The 19,351-nt window shown below is 42.6% G+C and overlaps 1 protein-coding gene across 13 annotated transcripts in view, besides 4 other annotated features; it reads right to left on the reverse strand.

Annotated features, from left to right (window-relative positions):
* Positions 1 to 19,351, reverse strand: part of ZFAT (zinc finger and AT-hook domain containing) — a 354,552-nt gene that overhangs the window by 79,725 nt on the left and 255,476 nt on the right. For 11 of the 13 annotated variants that reach the window (XM_047422062.1, NM_001174157.2, NM_020863.4 and 8 more), the window contains one exon: positions 7,821 to 7,909. The exons of 1 other annotated variant lie outside the window; for it this stretch is intronic. In XM_047422062.1, coding sequence (XP_047278018.1) covers positions 7,821 to 7,909 — 89 coding nt within the window. Of the gene's footprint in view, positions 1 to 7,474; positions 7,641 to 7,820; positions 7,910 to 19,351 lie in introns of all 13 variants that reach the window. One more of the 13 variants, NR_110323.2, reaches the window with a different exon arrangement.
* Positions 7,763 to 7,812: an enhancer, noted in NCBI's record as "active region_28010". NCBI's record gives its function as "activates an Ori minimal core promoter by ATAC-STARR-seq in GM12878 lymphoblastoid cells {active_cell/tissue: GM12878}" and the evidence as "EXISTENCE:reporter gene assay evidence [ECO:0000049][PMID:35858748]".
* Positions 7,873 to 7,932: an enhancer, noted in NCBI's record as "active region_28011". NCBI's record gives its function as "activates an Ori minimal core promoter by ATAC-STARR-seq in GM12878 lymphoblastoid cells {active_cell/tissue: GM12878}" and the evidence as "EXISTENCE:reporter gene assay evidence [ECO:0000049][PMID:35858748]".
* Positions 13,821 to 13,870: an enhancer, noted in NCBI's record as "active region_28012". NCBI's record gives its function as "activates an Ori minimal core promoter by ATAC-STARR-seq in GM12878 lymphoblastoid cells {active_cell/tissue: GM12878}" and the evidence as "EXISTENCE:reporter gene assay evidence [ECO:0000049][PMID:35858748]".
* Positions 13,911 to 13,990: an enhancer, noted in NCBI's record as "active region_28013". NCBI's record gives its function as "activates an Ori minimal core promoter by ATAC-STARR-seq in GM12878 lymphoblastoid cells {active_cell/tissue: GM12878}" and the evidence as "EXISTENCE:reporter gene assay evidence [ECO:0000049][PMID:35858748]".

The following is a 19,351-nucleotide window of genomic DNA, read 5'->3' on the forward strand; positions in this document are numbered from 1 at the left end:
ATATTAGATGGTAACAACAGGGGAAACTGGGTGTGGGGTATATAGAAACTCTCTGTACTATAGTCACATTTTTTTCTATAAATCTACAACTGTTCTAAAATAAAAAGTCAATACAAGAGATAAAATGGAATACTAAAAAATACTTGATTCACTCAAAAGAAGACAGAAAAGAAGGAAAGAGAAGCAAATAACTTATACAACACATAGAAAACAGACACCAAGATCATACTCTTAAGTTAAAAGATGTTGATAATTACACTATATGTAAATGGACTATGCACTCCAATTAAAGGGCAGTGATTGTCACCCTGTTACACACAGGTACATAATTCACATACACACATGTAGGCACACACACAGACACAAAAAAGAACTAGCTGTGTGCTGTTTACAGGAGAACATTTTAAGTAAAAATATTTGAATAGGGCCTTTCTTTGCAGAATTCAAAACCCAGTACACTGTCTAGCAGATTATGGGCTGTGGGGCCCCTGCATCAGAACCTCACAGGGAAGTGTTCAAGTCAAGGATCCTCGGTTGGGCTCTAGGCTTACTGAAAGCATCTTCTGGGTTTAGAAATGCATTATGTGAACATTTATCAAGATCCCAAGGTAATTCTGATGTTGACTAAAGTTACAGAAAAGTCAATCTTGCAGGAAGGGTGGCAAGAGGCCAGAGTTTCTCCTTGTAAGAAGAAAGCCCCCTAACTCTCTTCATGAAAGAGCAAACCTGAGGTCCTCCCCAGCACCCCAGCACTTCCTCCCCAGGAATGGCTTGGCAGGGCTGATGGGCCAAGCCTTCCCAAAGCTGTGTGGAGACATTCCTTCTGGTCTGTTCCCTCAAAGCAACTCCTCTTTCAAAGCCTCTGAAATAATTATATCAGTGTTCATATTTTTCAAATAAGAAGACAGAGGCTCAAAAAGGTAAAGGAATTCCCAAAGGTTAACTAATTAGTAAGCAGCAGCATCAACATTTTGGCCCCAATCTGCCTAACCCAACAATTCCGAACAACAAGAAAAAAGTAAAACAACATCAATATCTAAAAATTTATAAAAAATACAATATAACACCTAGAAAAATATTTAGAGTGAGCTATTTTTAAACATAATGTAATCTCATCGAAAAGTATATAAACCACGATCAGGCTGGGTTATATTCCTTGCTGTAGTTCTTTCGAGAACTAGAGTCATTTTCAAGAGATAGGGGAGGAAACAAGAGCCAACAATTTTTGATCACCTGCCTGGTACCATGTACCATACTTACTACTCATAAAAAATGGTATTGCTTTTAATATCTCCAACACCAGAAGACAAACATCACTATCAGCATTTTACAGATCATAAAATTTGTTAAATAACACAGCCTATAAGTGGTGCAGCCAGAAATTGAAACTTCATCTGCCTGGTTCTAAATCCTGTGCTTTGCTATGAGACCTCATCACTCTCAGAGATTTTCAAATGCCAAACAGAATCTCAATGAAATTCCAAAGGCAATTTGCACTATCTTCATAGGATGGTATCATGGATAAGAAACATGTTTACATTCTGCTTTGACTTTAGATAGTTTCTAGGATAATATTCTTATTTACTACGTTGCTGTTTTTTACTTAAATTATTGAATAGGTAAAGCAATTAATTGACATGGTTAAAATATATATATAGGGAAAAGTCTCACTCTCAGCCCTGTCCCTCAGTCTACCCAGTTCCAACCCTCACCCACCTGCAACAGGTTATGTTTCTTTGTTTATTTTGCATGTATTCTTGCAGAGGCTTGAAAGCAAACATAAGTAAATACAAATATGGTTTTGCCCTTTTTTAATCTTACTTTTTGCCCTTCCTCATATATCTTAAATATCTTTCTATAGAAGTAGAGAGATCCCATATTCTTTCCTGTAGCCACAAAGCATCATTCTGTTGTTTGTGTGCCCCATTGCCTATTTAACCCTTACCCTAATTCACAGACATTTCAGTTGTTGCTAATGGATAACCCTGCACAGTAAGCATTTCATGCATCTGCAAGTATATCTGTAGGATAAAATCTTACAAGTGGTGAGTCGAAGAACACATGCATTTGCAATTTTGACAGATTCTGCCAAACTGACCTCCACAGGGTCAAAGGCACTAACACTCCCACCAGCAATGTGTGAGAATGGCTGTTCCTCATGGCCTCATCAATGGAGCATGCTTGCAAACTTCTGAATGTTTACCAATCTGATAAGTGAAAAATGGTATCTTAATGTAGTTTTACTATTTTTTTTTAATTATCAGTGAGGTTGGACAACTTATCATACACTCAAAGTTATTCCCTTCTCTGTGATCTGTTCTTTTTATATATCCTTTGCCTATTTTTCAACTGGGTTACTGGTAGCAGTTTATTTTTAATATGAGATATTCATAAAAATAAGACAAATATTAAAGAGCTAATATCATATGAAAATAAAAATAATTCCAGCTGTCCAGTCAATATTTTTTTCTTGGATTTTGAAAGTATTATCTTAAAATCCATTCTCAGGCTTTGACATCTAACAAATATGCTGAGAGAAATCTAGCATAGTTTCCTAGAATGAATGGGCCATTCAATCAATCTACCAAACTATCTGGGGAGGGAGGCAGAGAGATTCAAGATCAGCTAAAATGGCAGATCTCACAAACCATTTTGGTATGGGGTTGTGATGTAAGCCCTAGCAAGACTTTCCTCTCATGTTCATCTGTTTTTCTCCTCTCACTCTCTCTCTCTTTCCCTCCCTCTCTATCACTGACACCACCCATCCCAAACTCAATGTCTCTCACGACAGCATTTTCACAGGTTGTATGAATCCCATGAACTCAACATATAACAACTTTCAAACTTAGTATAGAATGATATATATATAAGGTTAGCACAAAGAGGTATCCTCTTTAGATGAAAATGAGTGTCCCTTTTAAATGAAAAGATAAAATTTTATTTTAAAATAAACTCACTTTTGATTCATGTGCAAGGAGAATGCCACTGAATCGGCTCTGTCATTGAGAACATTTCTATCAACAGAGTTAGGGGTCCAAAGGAGCCAAATGAGAAAGAACTCCACAAGGTGATTCCTGCCTAACTACACTGCCTTACATAATGATACGTGGACTTATCTATTTGGAAGAAAGCAAAGAGTTGAATAGCTAGATGGAAGGATTTGGAAGAAAGCAAAGAGTTGAATAGCTAGATGGAAGGATTTGGAAGAAAGCAAAGAGTTGAATAGCTAGATGGAAGGATTTGGAAGAAAGCAAAGAGTTGAATAGCTAGATGGAAGGGTTTGGAAGAAAGCAAAGAGTTGAATAGCTAGATGGAAGGATTTGGAAGAAAGCAAAGAGTCGAATAGCTAGATGGAAGGAATAAGCCTATTTTTGTTTAGAGAATCCTAGTTCAGCAACATTCATCTTGTCTAAGTATCTTCTCTGGCACCTCTTTTAAGGTTGAAAATATCAGTTCCATCCTAGGGAATGCATTTTAATTGCATCTGCAAGAAGAGAAAATAACATCTTTACTATTTGTGAATTCTCAGATGTTTGATGGGCTTCACCCAACGTTTTATAGCTATTTAGATTTCAGGATGACATGGAAATGCTTTTGGCATAAAGATATCCACTGCAGGGTTACTTATAACAACAGAAACTGGGAATGACCAAACTATCCAATTGTGAAAGGAATGGTTACACTATGATAATCATCCTTAAGCAGCCATTAAAACTAGTTTATAAATACATTTTCATAAAATGGAAAACACCTACAAAATGCTGATTTAAAAGGCAATATTAAAAATTGCATATAAGCTCTCCGGCCCTGCCTTTCACTGGTAAAGTACCCTAGCAGCAAACCATCAGGCCAGTCATCTAAGCCACATTCTCCAATAGAGCTTTATCAGTGGTAAACCTAGGCACCGATTTCCATCAAAAAGAAAAAAAAATCTGCATTTATAATATGACCTCAACCATGTCTAAATAATATCAAAAAAATTCCATATGGAAAGGAATCAACAAGTACTTTCCAAATCTTACTTAGTGAACACATTAATTTTATTTTTAAAATAAGTATACAAATAAGAAATATGTACTTTTAAAAGGCAATACAGGAATTTGCCCTTATTATAATATTCCCTAACACAAATCATATATTGTAAATTGTACATCTACATCTAGAAAAGCAAATTGATTTCATCTTGTAAGCCAATCACAATTGATTAGTAGCATCTGTGTGAGGATGTTGAGCTCTAATCTAAGATTAGTAAAAAAAGCGAGACTTGATTTCTTAGTAATGTTTGCCATTGGTATATGTATGAATATCATATATTTTCTGATCTTGCTGAAAATGATCTACCACAGAGTAGACGTAAAAGGAAGAAAAGTGGGGGGGTATGGTTGGCAGAATAATGGCCCTTAAAAAAGTCCATGTCCTAATCCCCGGAACCCGTAAATATGTTACCTTGCATGGCAAAAATAAATTAAGACTGCAGGCGGTATTAAGGTTACTAATCATCTGAGATTAAGATAAGGACATTCATTGTTGTGGGTTATCTCAGTGGGTTCAGTATAACCACCAGGGTCCTTAAAGGTAGAAGAGGAGGCAGAAGAGGAGAGTCAGAGAAGGAGACATGGTGAGAGATGCCATATTTCTGGCCATGAAGATGAAGGGAGTGGCCATGAGCCAAGGAATACAGGTCGCGTGTAGAAGCCAGAAATGCAAGGAAGTGAATTTTTTTTCCCAGAACCTCTAGAAAAAATGCAGCCCTGCCAACACCTTGATTTTATCTTAGTGAGATGTGTGATAGACTTCCAAACTACAGAAATGTAAGATAATCAATCTGAACTATTTTAAGCCACTAAATTGGTGGTAATCTGTTACAGGAGCAATAGGAAATTAACACAGAGAGTGGGAAGGGAAGACGACAGGGAGAGAGTGATTATCACTATTTGGATGAGGGGTTGGCATGAAGCAATTTCATTTTGTTTGTCAGTCCCAATTAATTGAGAAACACTACCTAAATTGATATGCATTTGATGAATACCCTAAGTTGTGGGATGAGAGAAACTAAGGCTGGATTTACTGTTTCTCACTCAGGTCTGAATCTCATTCCCATCTATAGTACCACTCAATAGGGAGGAAGCTAAAATCCACAGGGAGTCCAAGGGAAACCAGCCATGACCCCAGGTCCAGCTCAGTGCAGCAGGTCCTGAGGCCCAGCACCGGACACCAACTATGTAATGGCAGAAGTTAATAATACATATGTGAGTGATTCCTTAACTGAAACCACCCCCAAATCCATTTCTTCTGCACATAAACCAGATAGTCCACAATCTTAAAAACAAAACAAAACAACAACAATAAAAACCAGTAAGGATTTCAGGGCAAAAAGGCTGTTTCAGCTAGGTCTGTTTAGGGAAGGAAAATGCTTCACAGTGTAAACCAAGGAATGATTGAAAAGTCTAGTAGCAATGCTGCAAAAGCCAGGAAAATAATTAACCTCACTGGGTCTAATTTTCTCACCTCTAAAGTGAAATTTGCCTTAGCTCTCTATTCTCTAGCACAATAATTGCACTAGTCCCCCAAAGAAGTACACCTATATGCTGTGAAATGTGAAATAAAGCTCTTAATTTTAAATACGTACACAAATATGCATAACGCTAAAGACGCTTCTTGATTCAGACACTGCCACAATCCCACTAGGTGACATATGAGTCCTACCTAAGAAACTCACAGTCAGTACGGGTGGTTTTAAAAAGCAGCTATACAAGCAACACCTTTCAACATCCTTAGTTTCTCCAATTTCTCCCTTTCTGCCCCCAACAAGTAACTGAGAACATGTAGTGAGAAAAGCACAAGACTAGGAGTGAAAGGATGAAGTCCATGTTTTAGCTTCTTCACTTCCTGGATATTGAAGGCGTACCAGCAGATCCCTCCGAGCCTCCCTCTGACACTCAATGTCTTCAACTACAAGAGGGGGAACCATGAAAATTCACCTCCCACAAGGCTGTTCTGAGCATAAAATAAACTTGCCAGTGGGGAAGGTCCTCGTCACCTCAGAAGTGCTGAATGCAGGTGAGTCAATATCATCATGGTGACTGAAGTCAGTGGATATAGCCATGGCAGAAAAGACTGACAGGTGATCAGTTAGCTTCTCTGAGGTTTAGAATCTTCGTATTTCAAAGACGGAAGATAATATGTACCATGAAGGAGATTCTAGATGATGAACATGCAGTTCCTGGTACAGTGCCTGCACGCAATGGATGTTCAATAAACACAAGCTAGCAGTGTGCTGGTGTAGGGTCGCCCAGCTCCCCAGTGCTTTCTTTCTGTGTCCTGACCAAAAATCAGGGTGCCTTGACTGTTCTGTGAGCCAGCCAGCTGCAGGATTTCCCAGCAGGCTTGAACCAGAACTGAAGCCTCGAACATTCTCAGGCACCAATAAAAATATTTAGGTTGCTCATAGTGAAACCCCGTCTCTACTAAAAATACAAAAATTAGCTGAGCGTGGCAGCGGGCTACCTGAGACACCCTGTAGTCCCAGCCACTTGGGAGGCTGAAGCAGGGGAATCGCTTGAAACCAGGAGACAGAGGTTGCAGTGAGCCAAGATCGTGCCACTGCACTCCTGCCTGGGCAACAGAGGAGCAGAGGAGTGAGACTCCTTCTCAAAAAAAGAGGAGTGAGACTCCTTCTCAAAAAAAAAAAAAAAAAAAAAAAGAGTATCTAGATTGTTGCCCAAGACACCACTGAAAGAAACTAGCCTTGGCCCTGCCTAAGCCAAATTCCATTAAGGCTCATACAACTCCATACCCTGACCACCTTGCTGTGGACATATCCCAGTAGAACACCCCACGCCCTGTCCCCTTGCTGTCTGTGGCAAGGACTTAGTAATTGCTTTAAACAAATCACCCCAGTGTTTAGTGCTTCTTTCTTTGGAATCCCAACAGGCCCTATATCAGGACAGTTTGGGGCACTGCCTGGTAGGAACTCCACTGCCACCACTTTTGGGGTGATACCAGCTGCAAGTCCAGAGGGACAAAACAGATGCCCTGCAGTCCCTCCCATGTTCTATGATTCTCTGGGATGTAATGGTAGACATAATTTCAAAAACCATTTTAGAGCAACAAGTTTACAAATCTTGATGATTCCTTTCCATGTGTGCCATGTGTGCCATGTTGCTGTGCCAGCAACAGCAGTAATTCTCAGGGTCAAGTTTCCCCAAGTGCTGAGCAGAACTTTTTACTGAACACATTACTGGACCCTAGTGATTGTTGTCAATAATTGCATCATAAGCAGTGGCTAAGCAAGCATTACCACCTACACTGAAGAAACACAAATTAGAGGCATTAAAAGAATATGAAATGCCACCATCTCCTGAGCCCCTGCAACATGCTGGGCACTGTGGTGGACACTCCCGAACACAATCTCCAGTTTTTACAACTGCTTGCCGGGTGGGCTTCATCACACCTGCTTTATCGGGTGACTCACCTGCAGCAATCCAGGATCTGAAAGCAAAAATACGTGTCCCTAAAGCCTGCAAGCCTTCCTCTAAATCACTCCAGTGCTTTTATGCAAAGATCGTGCCTTTTCTTCTGTCTGCATCCTCTTACACATCTTTGACTTGGTTTCCAAATTACAGAGCAATGCTACGCTTCTGGAACGAGAGAGCACAAATAAGCTGCACTATGCCTCAGACTCCACGTGTACCAGCTAAGGGGGCCCCAAAGCGAAGGTAAAACCAACAAACAATGAAAGAATGCTCTCTCCATCTTCACTTTGAAAAGCAACGCCTTTTTTGTCTGAACATCTGCCTTCTTCTCCAGAGCCCTCTTACCTTGAAGGAGACATGCTGTTCCATGTGCCGCAGCAGCTGTGGCTTCTGGGCCGCTGTGTAGTCACACACCGTGCACTTAAACTGCTTCCCTGGAAAGAAGCGGAGGACAAGATGAGCGTCGCCAGGCCAACAGCTCCCACTGTGAATGAAGTGCCAGGCATGGAGCCAGGTACACAAAGGTGTTCCTTGCCATGTGAGGATCAGAATCTCAGAAGGGAACAGCGACGAGGTGCACAGGCACAATGCAGCATGCTCAGTCTTCAACAGGTGGGAGTGGAGAGGCACTCCCCAGGGAGGGAGAGGCACAGCCAGCTCCACCTGGGGAGGCCCCATGAGCAATGACATTCGATCAGGCTCCTAAAGAAAGAGTAAGGGTGTGTCCAGCTGCCCAGAGAGAAGGGCATCAAGGGAGAGGGGCACACACAGATGAGACTGCAGGGGAATGGACCACAGGGTGCTCAGGAAAGCGGAGCAGCTGCATCTTCCTTCCTGGAGAGGAGCAGCTGCATCTTCCTTCCTGGAGTGTGAGGTCTGCAGAAATTCAAGAGCTGAGCCAGAGAGGTTGCTGGCCCAGAATATCAAGGGTCTGGACCATCTCACAAGGACCTCAGACATAACCCTGAAAGTCAGGTGAGTCTGCAGGATGATGGCCAGCAAAGTGCAGGATCTGCGTTGCAGAACTCCTAACTCTGTTTGGAGTGCCAAAGGCATTTTGGGGAGAATGCTAGAAAGAAAACTAGGGAAAAGTAAACCACTGGTCTTAAAAAGATTAAGGTTTTAGGCCGGGCGCGGTGGCTCATGCCTGTAATCCCAGCACTTTGGGAGGCCGAGATGGGCAGATCACGAGGTCAGGAGATCGAGACCATCCAGGCCAACACAGTGAAACCCTGTCTCTACTAAAAACACAAAAAATTAGCCAGGCGCAGTCGCGGGTGCCTGTAGTCCCAGCTACTCGGGAGGCTGAGGCAGGAGAATGGCGTGAACCCGGGAGGTGGAGCTTGCAGTGAGCCGAGATAGCGCTACTGCACCCCAGCCTGGGCGACAGAGCAAGACTCCAACTCAAAAAAAAAAAAAAAAAGATTAAGGTTTTAGCAATATTTAAACATTCAATAATGGGATATGTTAAAACAAATTAATAGATATATGAGGTACCCTACATTTTGCCTCTGATTAGCATAAATAAAACCTCAACAAGCAATAACACAAACATGTGTAACCAAATGTAAATGTGGCCTACTTCGTATAGCAGTAAAGAATTCAACAAGTAGCTTCTAATGGTGTAAACCTCCTCAGGGCATTACACCCACAGCCACTGTGGCTGAGTTCCCAGAAGTGCTGGCTCCTCCCAGAGCACTCTTGCACCTTTCCCTCTTAGATATTCCCCCTCCCCTCTATTCACTGCCAGCTCACCTGGAAACCTGTTCCCACTATGATGCCAAGCCAATGGCAGATTTTGGTCTGTATGTTACTGGATGACTGTACTGCATGTGACTCCATTAATAGTCCACACTTTGGAAATCTTCTGTTCCTTTGACTCTGCAACAATACCACCTCTCTGGGCCTCTCTATTCATTCTGAGTACCCCTGAGGCATTCCCTCTCACCAGGGCAGCTATCATTAGGCCCTGATGTTCCACAGTGTTCCAGCCCACACTCCTACTCTAAGTCTACAAGCATCCTTGCATATAACTGACCCTAACTGACCCCTTCAGACTTTTGTAAACCTTTGATGCCAAAATCAGCATCTTCTACTCTGATCTCTTCTCTGAATCTGAGACTTGAGTATCCAACTGCCTGCTAGACCAGCCACTTAGCTGTCCCAAATGTCCTAAGCTGGACACATCTTCTTCACCAAATGGCTTCCACCTCCAGCCTTCCCAGTTTATCATCCATCTGATCACCTACATCAGATACCCAGTAGCCTTCCTCAAAATCTTTATGGCCCTAACTTACACTCACCTCATTTTTTCAGCACCTGATTTCATCTCCTAAATATTTCTCATGTCTGTCTATTTCTATTTCTAATACCTCCACACTGGTTTAGGTCCTCCTCATTTCTTTCTTAGACAACAGCAAAAGCCCCTAAGCTGGTTTCCTTGCCTTCATAAAACCCTACCAACCATCCATCCATCCATCCATCCATCCATCCATCCATCCATCCATCCATCAACCATAATCCACCCATCTATCCACACATGCATCCTGATGCCTCATCTTCTATCCAGATGATGTACAGCATAAACCATCCCACAGTCTAGCCATCAGAACCAACCAATGGCCCCAACTTCAGAGCAAAGTTGACGTTCCAGAGCACAGCAGAGAAGGCCCTCCAGAATCAGAACCAACTCTCCCCAACCCACCCCACCCCTCTCTCTGACTTTCTCTTGTGCCTGCCCCTTCTGTATTTAGGCTCATAACACTGAACTCCTTGAGTTCTCCAAACTTTCTGCTTTGCCTTTGCAATCTCAGACCCCTGAGCCTTTGCTAACATTTTCCATGCCTGGAATGCACTGTCTCGCAGCATCTGGTCATTCTTCCTGTTAATTCAGAACTCAAATTGAACACTCTGGTAATTGGGCCAAGAGGCAGCCCTCCATAGGCCCCCTACACACTGTCCACTTGCTTCAGTCTATGCCCCACCTCTACCGCCTTGTACAAGGCAGGGCTGCCTTCAGCTGCCCATGGGCAGGGACTACATCTTACTCATCTTGGTACCCCAGCACATGAGTGCACACACAGACTGAATATATTCCATGCATTTCATTAAACTGAACTGAGTGAAAATTTTGTACATCTTATATGAACATCAGCCTCAATAACAGCAGCAAAAGGAAACAAATATTAATACCACAGTTGTATCTATTATTCCAGGTGAATGAACCCAAAATTCTAAATTTTATTAATTCTGCAAGCCCAAAGTGTAAGGAAACTTTTTCACTTGTAAGTCACACAAGTTACAATTAGAGAGCAATTAGAACTTAAAAAAAATACAGTAACATCTTCTTTCAAACACAGGGCCACACATTTCTACACAGTTCCAGTTGAATCTCAGTTAAACACACTTCTCCACTGACACATGGCTCATGTGCATACAGCATCATTATTCTGGGCAGCCTGGGCAAAACTGTGCTGTGTTCTTCACCACTAGAGTGGGGGAAGCAGAGCTGATGGAACCATTCTCTAAGTTGATAAATATTCTGTCATTCATTGTCAAACACTTGGGTCAAAGAGTAACAGATTAAGAGCTAAAAAAGAGTCCTAAAATGAATAAATGGAACTGCCTCATTTGAAATCAAGAGTCAGCCTTTTATGGATGTACTTCCAAGGCTCTGCAAGAGACAAGAAAAGAAGGCAGAAGCTAAAAGCCATCCCTTACTGAAGCATCAGAGCCCTGGCAATAAATATTACTAATGTTTTCAGCAACCACTGCCAGCACCTATCAAACAGGCCTGGGAGGGCATCTGACATAATTATTTGCTGCCTAATTAAAATAATGGGATGCAGATTCATGACTAATCATAAAAGAGCAATACTTTGAGACCATCAGATGGCTTTCTATCAAGAGACTTCTGAGACTTACAAGCAGAGTCAACTGCAAAACCTAGTATTTACTCGAGGTGAGATTGACCTCAGAGTGCTGGGAGATGCACATCGAATGGCTGTACGTGGATGCGAATCTCCCAGAATCCCAGGGGAAGAAAAGAATGATTACAAAGAAAAGAGGTTGACTGATAAAAAGTAATGCCTTTTCCCTAAAATATACCTGGCTAGGTCTACTCACTGGACTACTAGGCATCATGAGTTGCACTGGGGCATGACGTGTAAAATCTTACCATGCACCAAAAACCCAGGAGGTGGGCAGTGTCACCCTTTCATGGATGAGGACCTGGTATCAAGACTCTGAGTACTTGCCAGATCACGAAGCTTCAAATAAGCTTCAAATATAAGCTTATTTGAAAATACAGCTTATATTTTCAAATAAGTGGCAGAGCCCAGATTTGGCCCTCAGTCTGTTGACCCCAACACCCCCATTCACAGCCACATAAGAATCTTTTCAGCTAATAAGGGTGTGATACAATTTCCGAAATGGAAGGAGGAATTTATACCAGCAATGGCATATCTGTGCCACTAACACATAAGGTGACTGCCCATCAGAAGGTGACTACCCATCAGAAAAGACTGCCCAAGAAGAGCCAGTTGCAGGGGAACTATGTTCTCTTTCTGGCCCTGTCCTGCTCACCCTGAGTGACCCTGGGTTCTTTCTTCTATGCTACTCAGAGGCCCCATTAGAAAAATGGGGAGGTAATCCCCATCTGCTGTGAGGATGGGCTCAGGGACTGGGCCTGCAAGCATCTGAAAAGCAGCCCCCTGAAGGATGAGGCTGCGGGTGCATACAGGTGACCCCACAGTGGACCTTTCAGCTGAGTGCAGTGCCCTCCAGACCTGTACCTCCCTGACACTCCCTGAGACAATCCAAATATTCAGTTCTAATTAAGCCAGCCTAAATCAGTATACCTAAAACAAAAAGCATAAAAGCAGAGCAAAGGAAAAGGTTTGTACAACTATATCAAAGTGTAAGTAAGCAGTTATAACAGCAGAGTTTACAGAAAACCTCCTGCTCCTCTTCCCAGCACCCTATCTGGCCTCACCTCCACCCAGAGCAAAAGCCAAGAGCTTCACAGTGGCTGCAGGGCACAGGGGTGTATGACTCCCTGTCACCTCTCAGAGCTCATGTACTGCCTTCACCTCTCTCCACTCCATAGACACAGTCCACGCACCTACCTCCGGGCCTCTGCACCTGCTGTTCCCAGAGCCCGGGGTGTCCATCCCAGATATGCTGTGCTCTGCTGCCTCATCTCCCTCAAGTCTCTGTTCAAATGTCACCTTCACACTGAGTCCTTTCAGACCATTCTGTTTAAAATCAGTCCCTGTGCCCCTTTACTGATTCATTTTTAGCATTTCTCAGCCTATATTTTCATACTGAAATGGAATCATTTCATATTTGTATTTTTATTTTCATCTCTCAATTTTCTTAATATTTTAGATGTACTCATATTTCCATTGTAATATACCACACACTTTGCTGATTTATAGTGTTTGTTATCCATCTCACTCACGAGAATTTTCGCCTCATGACAGTGGAGATTTTGGGTTTGGGCTTTGGTTGCAATCACCGAAGCAGTGCACTGATTCACCTTTGGTTGGTCCATCTGGCACCCTTGCAGGTTGTGGGTACTTTGAGACAAGACTGCAATTTTCATGCCATGTCCTCAGTGCTTGGAGGTGAGAGCATCCTGGAGGTAAGGCTAGCAGTTAATTTACAGGAGCACCCCATTCAGAAGTCTGTTCAGCCACCCTTTCTCCCCTCCTCATAATCAACATGGTCACACAGGGCATCACAAGGGCCAGTGATATGTCGTCATACCCACCATCTCCCCACCCAAAGTCATAGGAGATTGGACTACAGTGGACAAGAGACTCTAGCTGAGCCAGGAATCAGAACTGTCCAGATATGAAGCTTGCAACTCAGCAGTGGATGGGAGTTGTGTTTTCACTCTGTGGGTGAAACAAGTAAGCAAGCCAATCTGCTGGGGGTGAGAGGAGAGCACAGCGAAGACAGACAGAGACAGGACATCAGAATGAAGTAAGGAAGCAGAGAGGACCAAAGGTGGAGGATGAAGACAATCTCCTGGCTGGCTGTGTCCATTCACTCAGCGAGCATTCACGGAGGGGCTGCTGGGTGCCAGGACCATGCCTGATCCCAGGAGATGAGAGTGGACAAGACAGCAAAGGCCCTGCCTCTGGCACTCATCACCTAAATGGACAACCAGCAAGTAGTCCAACAAATAATTACCAACTGCAACACGCCACGAAGGACAAAGGCAAGGAGCCATGGTGGAGCATGAGGGAGTGTGGAAGAGGTGTGGCCATGTGGCCAGGCTGTCAGGGAAGGCCTCTGTGAGGAAGTGACGTTATACTAAGATGGAAGGATGAGGAGGACCAGCCGCATGAGGAAGAGGTGAACACAGCACTGGGAAGAAGGAACTCAAACACAAAGGCTCTGAGTCTCTGTAAGATCCCAGGTAACTTTACCATAAATGCCCCGTGGCGACTTCTGTGACCTCAAATGAGTTTCTGTCAACTGCAACCAATATGAGTTTCTGTCAGCTGCAACCAAGAGTCCAAGAAGTATAGCTGTTGAATGAACCAGTGAATGTATGACTATGAAACACCAAGACCCCAGAAACCAGGCAAAAATAGGTCTTGACCAAACAGCGTTCTCTAGAGAGGACAGAATGAGACTTAATTAACTGAAAAAAGTCCAATTACAGCACACTCTCCTACACAGCACTATGAACCAAAGCTACAAATGCTTTATGACCATTAACTCATTTAACTGTCACAATACCTGTTTGACTTTATGAGCTATCATATAAATAAAAAGTATAACATGGTAAGATTTGATACCCATTAAACTAAGAAACTAGACATTTTTAGTAACACAGTGTTAAAAATGGAAGAGTTAAGCTGGGACACTTTCTTATTTCTGGTACAATTTTTTGGAAAGGAAGTTGGCAGTGCAATGCACAATTAAAACCACCAAAACAAAATAGCCATCCCGCTCCTGGAAATGTGTCCTAAGGAGTTAATTCAAAAGAAGACAAAGTTTACATGCAAGAAAGAAGCCCCTGCCACATAAGTTAAAATAATGGGAGGAAAAATGAAAATAACACATTGTCCGAAAATAAGGGAATGGTTACACAACTCATGGATCACCTTAGTGCATCATACAACTCTTAAACTTGTTATTAATGAACTGTACAGCAACGAAGAATTATTATAATATTAATTTCAAGGCTGTAAGAATGATATCCTTTCATTACAACTATACAGCCATTCCATATGAGCATGAATAAAGATTTTTAAAGAATCATTTATTTGTTAGGTGATAGAATTGTGGGCATACTTGTAGGAAGCAGTTGGATTTTTATGAACATTGTTTTCGTGCTGTCTGTGCTCTAACAGAAAAGCATTTCAGATAATTAGCACCCATCTCTGAAAGGCTGAGATGTTTCATCCGCTACTGCACACAAACCAGAAGACAGATCTTTCAACGCAGAGCCATAAAATGATACCAATGGCTTCTGAACCTGAAAGTTCACTGTCTTTTAAAAAACAGCCCCCCAGCCTTGACTGGCTACGCACTGACTTACGGGTGCTCTTTCTGACCAAGCATCTTTCTCCCTCTTCTTCACAAAAAAGAGCCAGTGGCCTAATTGTGCGAATAATCTCAGGAGTAGTCGCTTCTTTTCCTCTTGGGCAGGATTTAATTTCTGTAAGCAGTCAAATGTCATTCTGAGCCACACCTTGTAAATAAGGACAAAGCAAAGCTGAGTCATACCACTTTTTGGAGAAACACTCTTGCAGAACACATGCTCCAAGCTGACTGCAAGAATATTGCCACGGTGGGGAAAAAAAAAAAAGCTGACTGTGGGAACAAAGACTTCCTGGTCAGAAATTGCAGAATTTAGAATCTCATTTCCTTATGAAATTCTTTATTTGACCCACAGGCCCAGATGGTAAAATGGTAAAACTCAAAATCATAACAACCTAGATGAATCTCACAAGCACAATGTGAAAAGGAAGAAGCCAGACATAAAAGAACACATATTGTATGAATCAACTCTATGAAGTTCAAAGACAGAGAAAAGCAAGTTATGCTGCTAGAAGTCAGGGCAGTAAGTAGTTACCTCTGGGGAGGAGAGACAGGCAATAATGTTGCAGGAGGAAGAAATTGCCAAGAGGCTGGCAGTGTGCTGTTTCTTCTCCTAAGCTGCAGTTACACAGGTGTGCCTCCTTTGTAACAATCCATTGAGCTGTACACTCCTGAACTGTGCATGTGTGCGTGTATGTGTGCATGTGTGTGTGTGCCGTGTGTGTGTGTACGTGTTACTTTAATTTAAAAAACGTAAAAATAAAAATAACACAACAAAACAAGAACCTTCCTTGGAAGGTTCTTGAGAATCGGCAACAAATTCGTTTAAGAAAGGAAAGATGTGTCGTGTAGTTCAAAGATAAACTTTGAAGACTGTATGGCAGTTTGTAGACTTATGCAGGCTGATGTTGCTGGTGGAGGGAAAGGGATCCCATCAGTGTTCCTGGCCCTGTAGTTTTCAGTTAGACATCTTTCTGAGTGCCAGGCTTGCTGGAGGTTTCCACTGCAGACACCGCAGCTCTTTCTGGAAATACAGTGTTTCACTAGCAGCTCCATTTCCCTTAAAAAATGTGTGATCTGGTTGAACTCTCCTTCAAAGATGGGGATGCAGGCACGAAAATGTCATTTCCATTGTTTCTGTTCATCTCTCCAAAGGTGAGGCATATCTTTGCAAAATCTCTCTCCACTTTCAAGTGTTCTTTTGGAAGGAGCCTCTTTCTTTGCCTAAGCATGAGTGCTGGGACTGCATGTCCATGACTGATGAAGCAAAGCTGACCTCTGTCCTTTGCAGCGCTGCCTGGGCCTGGCAACTGGATGCTGGCTGAATTCAAAGATCACCAGACAGTGAAAACCAGCACAGGGTCTGGAGTCAGAGAATCTGAGCTCTGCTCTTTACTCCAGCCTTACCCAGGTAAAACATTACCCACGTTGTCCTGTTAGAAAGGGAAGAGGGGACTTGAAAATAGGAGAAGGAAAGAAGAAACAGGAATACTTGTTATCCTAGCTCAGGTTAGAGAGATGTGACCGACCAAACCTACGAGAGTTCGAACTTCGCTTCCCGTTGACTCTCCACGTTGAAGGAAGGAGAGGGGGATGTCAATGTGGTAGGTGGGGGAGCCAGCAGGGTACCTGCCTTGCTGAAGCCCCTGGGCTCAAGCAGGAAGTTATTCCCAGCTGGATATGGAAGCACAAAGGCACCCATGTCGCCCTAGACCTCTGAAGCTCAGCTGCAAGGGAGCCACACTCTGAGCTCCCATTCTCTGCTCCTGAAAAGAAAGGCAATCGCTCCTGGCCTCCCGGCAGCTGTGGGCAGGCCACCGTGGGATCTATGAAGCCCCAGCCTGGCGACTTGGCACTAACAGTATGTGCGGCACCTGTTGTTCCCTTTGTTTCTTACTACAGCCTCATCTGCTTGGTGACTTTCCCTGAGGATGACTCCAGCTGCTTGCTTACTTTAGATAGAGTTCTATGTAAAACTAAGAAGGAATGGAATGGTAGGAAAGAAAAAAACTTAAAACGTCACCTTCAGCTTTTGGCATTTGGATTCCATCAGAACACAGAGAGAGACGGCAATGAAAAATTCCTTGGGATTTAAGGCAACTTGTTTGAAGTATCTGCTAAATTAAATCATCCTTGCCAAATCAAATTTTATGTGCACCTCAAACCTGAAAGAGCTCTAAAGTACTTAGAGGAAAGAATTTCTATAAATCTCAACTGTTATTAGTAATACTATTCTAGAGGCATAAAAGTAAAAATGCCTCCTTATGACTGTTTATCCAGTCTTACTGAAAAAGGTGGTATTTTACATAAGTAAATTTTCAAGAGTTTTTAGAAAATTGACTTTACCTTTTTTTCAGAAAACTGACTTTTACCCTTTCCAACAGTGATACTCTTTAAATATTAACTATTGCACTGTGCCTTCCTAATAGGAGAATATTTGAAAAAAAAAAGTGACTTAATCTTTCCTAATGATGTAAATTAACTGCTACAGATATCCATTCTTATACTGTGTCATTAAGAGCTACTGGTTCATGCACCAGAGGAATGGGTACATGAGCTGACATCCATAGTATGAACCCAATTAATCTTCCTGCAACCCCATGCTGTGGGTTGATAATGGCCCTCCCAAAGATATCCAGGTTCTAATCCCCAGAACCTATACATGCTATCATATATGGAAAAAAAATAAAAAGGAGTTTGCAGATGTGATTAAGCTAAAGATCTTGAGCTGGGGACTAGCCTGGCCTATCCAGGTAGTCCTAGTGAAATCACAAGGGTCCTTATAAAAGGAAGGCAGGAGGCTTAAAGTCAGAGAAGGAGTGTGGTGATGGAAGCAGGGACAGAAGAGATGGGAAGATGCTGGACTGCTGGCTTTGAATGTGAAGGAAAAGGTCCATAAGCCACAGGATGCAGAGACAGGTTCCCCTCCAGAGTTCCCAGAAGGAATGCAGCCAGGCTGACACCTTGATTTTAGATCGCTGACCTCCAGAGCTGCAACATAATACATCTGTGTTGATCTAGGTCGCTAACTTTGTGGTAATTTGTTACAGGAGTCACGGGGAAACATGTAACTTCCATGTTACAAATGGGGATCACTGTTCAAGACTGTTCAGGCAAGAAGTGATTCCAGCCTGGGCCTGCCTCTGGAGCACAAGGTTTTCCCTACTCTACCTCCTCGCTTCTCCATGTAGCCCAGCACACAGAGGTTTGCTGCTTCATGTAAGAAAAGCGTCCTGCAGGAAGCATAACAGGCATTTTGCAGCAAGTGTTTTGCAAAGCACACATCTTCACAGTTCTAGCATCTGTGGTGATTTATGCAGTGGCAAATCGAACAGAAATAGCTACAGCAATAAAAATACAGTTAAAGAAGTCTCTGTACTTTAAAGGCTGAACTTCAAGCAACTGCAGACTTAGGGCCTGATGATTCTCTGTAATTAGTACATCAGTTTTGATATAAGGAGGGATGGATCAGCATAAGACAGAGGTGGAAAGAAACCGAAGGCAGCACAAAGCCACATAAAGGACAGAGCACAGCACCAGGGCTAGATGAAAGTTACAGACACTGTGCCAGACATTTGCAGCTGAGACCCTCTACCTGGTGAGGTTTTAGGTGGCCAAGCCTCATTAAAAAGTTAAATCTGTATATCAATCTAAGCTAATTGCTCAGTAAGCTGCGTAGTTCATTTTATAGTATGGGCCCACTTATTCCCAGTGGATCTTGTGGTTTATAAAAACCTGAGAAAAAGAGCTACATATGAACACCAACAGGGTGAACCTATTAAACAGTATTTGTGGGCCCTGAAATTAGCCCTGCCTTCTCCTGCCCACCACCCAGACTCCAGCCCAGTGATAAGCAACAGAAATCTACCATGTTCATCCAGTAGCCACACTTCCACACCTGCCTCTTCACCTTTTCTCCAAGGGCAAGTAGGAGGAGGAACAAAAGGGAAAAGGATGCAGTGGAAAGACCAGTCTCACTGAAGTCTCGCAAGTTAACCTTGTAAGATCAATCCAGCTAGGTGCTCAGGGACCATTTTCTATTTACTTCCTGGTTCTGTTTTTAGAAGCAAAAGGCCATGGAGCTACTTTATCCTAGAGTGGCTTTGCTTTTTAGAGGACAGTGGAGGAAAACAAAACAAAACTCCATACTTAGATCTCCTAGAATATTTTAATTTGCAGCCATGAGATCTCTTATCATAAATTGAAGAAGGGACAGAAAAAAAGGGTACTTACTCCACTCAAACCTAATTTCCATACTCAACTCTCCACTTGTCTATTACAAGAGTGCTTGAAGCCTGGATAATTCTTTTCAAATT

This window comes from Homo sapiens, chromosome 8 (genome assembly GCF_000001405.40).
Source record: "Homo sapiens chromosome 8, GRCh38.p14 Primary Assembly".
In the NCBI taxonomy this organism is placed as follows: Eukaryota; Metazoa; Chordata; class Mammalia; order Primates; family Hominidae; genus Homo; species Homo sapiens.